The following is a 2,534-nucleotide window of genomic DNA, read 5'->3' on the forward strand; positions in this document are numbered from 1 at the left end:
CTGATACAAGAGGTCAGAGAATGCTTCCTGAAAAGGAGAACTGAAAGGGTAGAAGCTTAAATGAAATTAGGCAGGCAGAGATATGGCTGCAAAGAGTAGTCCGTGAAGAGGAAACAGTGTCTGCCAAGCTTTGAAGACGGTTGCTTGTAAATAGAGTTTGGGTTTAAAGGGGTCCTTTTTATTATTATTATTAATTTCCCTTGGATATTTACAACTTTACTCATATCCATTTCTTCATATTCAATGGCAGGAATTTCTAGCTTTTAATTGAAGCTTCTCAGCTTATTGTTCCCCATCTTCTCCTTCTAGCAGCTAATGACCAGTAAATAAATCCACAAGGGCCCAGCCTAGCTGCTGTTTAAACAAACATTTTATTTAAACACTCTGCAAAGAAGTCCTGCACTCCAGCCTAGGCGACAGAGTGAGACTCTGTCTCAAAAAAAAAAAAACAAAACAAAGGTGTTAGAGTGTTCATTGGAACATGTTTTCTAATAGCAAAACACAGGGGAAAAGCATGAATGCTCATCATGGGGGTGAGTGGTTAAACAAAATGTGGTTCAGTCATACAATAGTGAGAATTACACACAGTGCTTACAAATAATGAACCAGGTCTCTCTTATCACATGGAGCAATCTCAAAAACATTGAGTGAGAAAAACAAGTTGTAGAATCACACACACACACACACACACACACGCATACACATACAAAATGATACCATTCACAAAATTATTAAAATCCATTAAACTGTATATTGTTGATGTATTAGCCACAAGTTTAAAAACATAGGTCAGGAGCATTTACACCATCTTCATGAAAGTGATTGCTTCTTATGAATGAAGAAAGGAACAGAGTGGAAGCGGCTGTCCTACTTTGGGCTCTTCTGAAAACAGAGCCTGAAACAAGGAGTCTGATGCAAGTAGTTTATTGGGGTGGCAATTGCAGGAAGATAGTAAGGATGCAGGGAAAGAGAGACGGGAAGGGGAGTAAGTCAATAAAGTGTGTATTAATCTAGGGCAATTGGGACTCAATCTCAGCAGGAACCTCCTGAATAGCCATGCCTCAGAATCAATCCACTAAGGGACAAGGCAGCTGGGATAATTATTTTCCAACTCCCTTCTCTCATTGATCGAGGATTGACCTTGGGGCATTGCGCCTCCAGTCCTTTGGGATTGCCCTGTGGACGGGCTAAGCAAGCTCTCTCGCCACTAGAGGGAACCCTGGGGCAGAGAAACGTGTGCTCCAGGGCGTAAGCAGTCAGCGTGCCTGGAAACCATCCACCATAGCTGCAAGAGGCCTAAAGAGATTGGCCAAGGGATGTGGCATGGGATACTAATCATATCTGCTACATGGGAAAAACTGTATCAGCAATGTTTTGCTTTATTTTTAAGAAACATCTGAAGTAAATAAAATAAAATGTTAATATTTGTCAATTCTACCCAGTGGTTGCATGGGTGGCTGCTATATTATTCTCTGTTCCTTTTTGCATTTTGTCTTTAAATTTTACAAATTACATTCACAATGTTGTAAAACCACCGCCACTGTTTTGCTTTATTTTTAAGAAACATCTGAAGTAAATAAAATAAAATTGTTAATATTTGTCAATTCTACCCAGTGGTTGCATGGGTGACTGCTATATTATTCTCTGTTCCTTTTTGTATTTTTTGTTTAAATTTTACTAATTACATTCACAGTGTTGTAAAACCATCACCACTGTCTATTTCCAAAATTTCACCACCCTAAAGAGAGAGCAATAAGCAATAACTCCTTATGCTCCTCTCCCTTGGCCTTTGGTAACTTCTAATCTACCTTCTGTCTCTATAAATTTCCCTATTCTAGATATTTCATACAAGTAGAATCACACAATATTTGTCCTTTTTGTTGGCCTATATCACTTAGCATAATGCTTTCAAAGTCAATCCATGTTGTAACATGTATCAGAACTTTCTTTCTTTTTATGGCTGAATAATACCCCAGCGTGTGTGTGTGTGTGTGTGTGTGTGTGTGTGTGTGTACCACATTTTGTTTATTTATTCATCTGTTGATGAACTCTTGGGTTGTTTTCACCTTTTGGCTATTGTGAATAATGCTACAATAAACATTGCCATGGAAGTAACTATTGGAGTCCGTGTTTCCAATTTTTTGTTGTATACCTAGGAACAGAATTGCTAGGTCATATGGTAACTCTATGTTTCATTTTTTGAGGAACCACTATACTCCTTTCCATAGCATCTAAACCGTCCTACATTCCAACCAGCGCTTCATAAGGGTTCCAATTTCTCCCCATCCTCGCTAACACTATCTTCTCTTTGTTGTTGTTGTTGTTATAGCCATCCTAGTAGGTATGAAGGGATATTTCACTGTGGTTTTGGGTTGCATGTCCTTAATGATGATATTGAACACCTTTTCATCTACTTATTGGCCATTTATGTATCTTCCTTGGAGAAATGCCTATTCAAGCTTTCTGTATTCTTAAACCTTTTCAAAATAAAAATGTAAGGTCCTATAGCATGCAGTGGAGCCTACTATTTGAAA

At 38.4% G+C, this 2,534-nt stretch overlaps 1 annotated feature.

Moving 5' to 3' along the window:
- Positions 986 to 1,280: an enhancer, noted in NCBI's record as "tiled region #11413; K562 Activating DNase unmatched - State 12:CtcfO". NCBI's record gives its function as "activates a minimal TATA promoter and a strong SV40 promoter by Sharpr-MPRA in K562 cells {active_cell/tissue: K562}" and the evidence as "EXISTENCE:reporter gene assay evidence [ECO:0000049][PMID:27701403]".

Source organism: Homo sapiens, chromosome 16 (assembly GCF_000001405.40).
Source record: "Homo sapiens chromosome 16, GRCh38.p14 Primary Assembly".
NCBI classification, from domain to species: domain Eukaryota; kingdom Metazoa; phylum Chordata; class Mammalia; order Primates; family Hominidae; genus Homo; species Homo sapiens.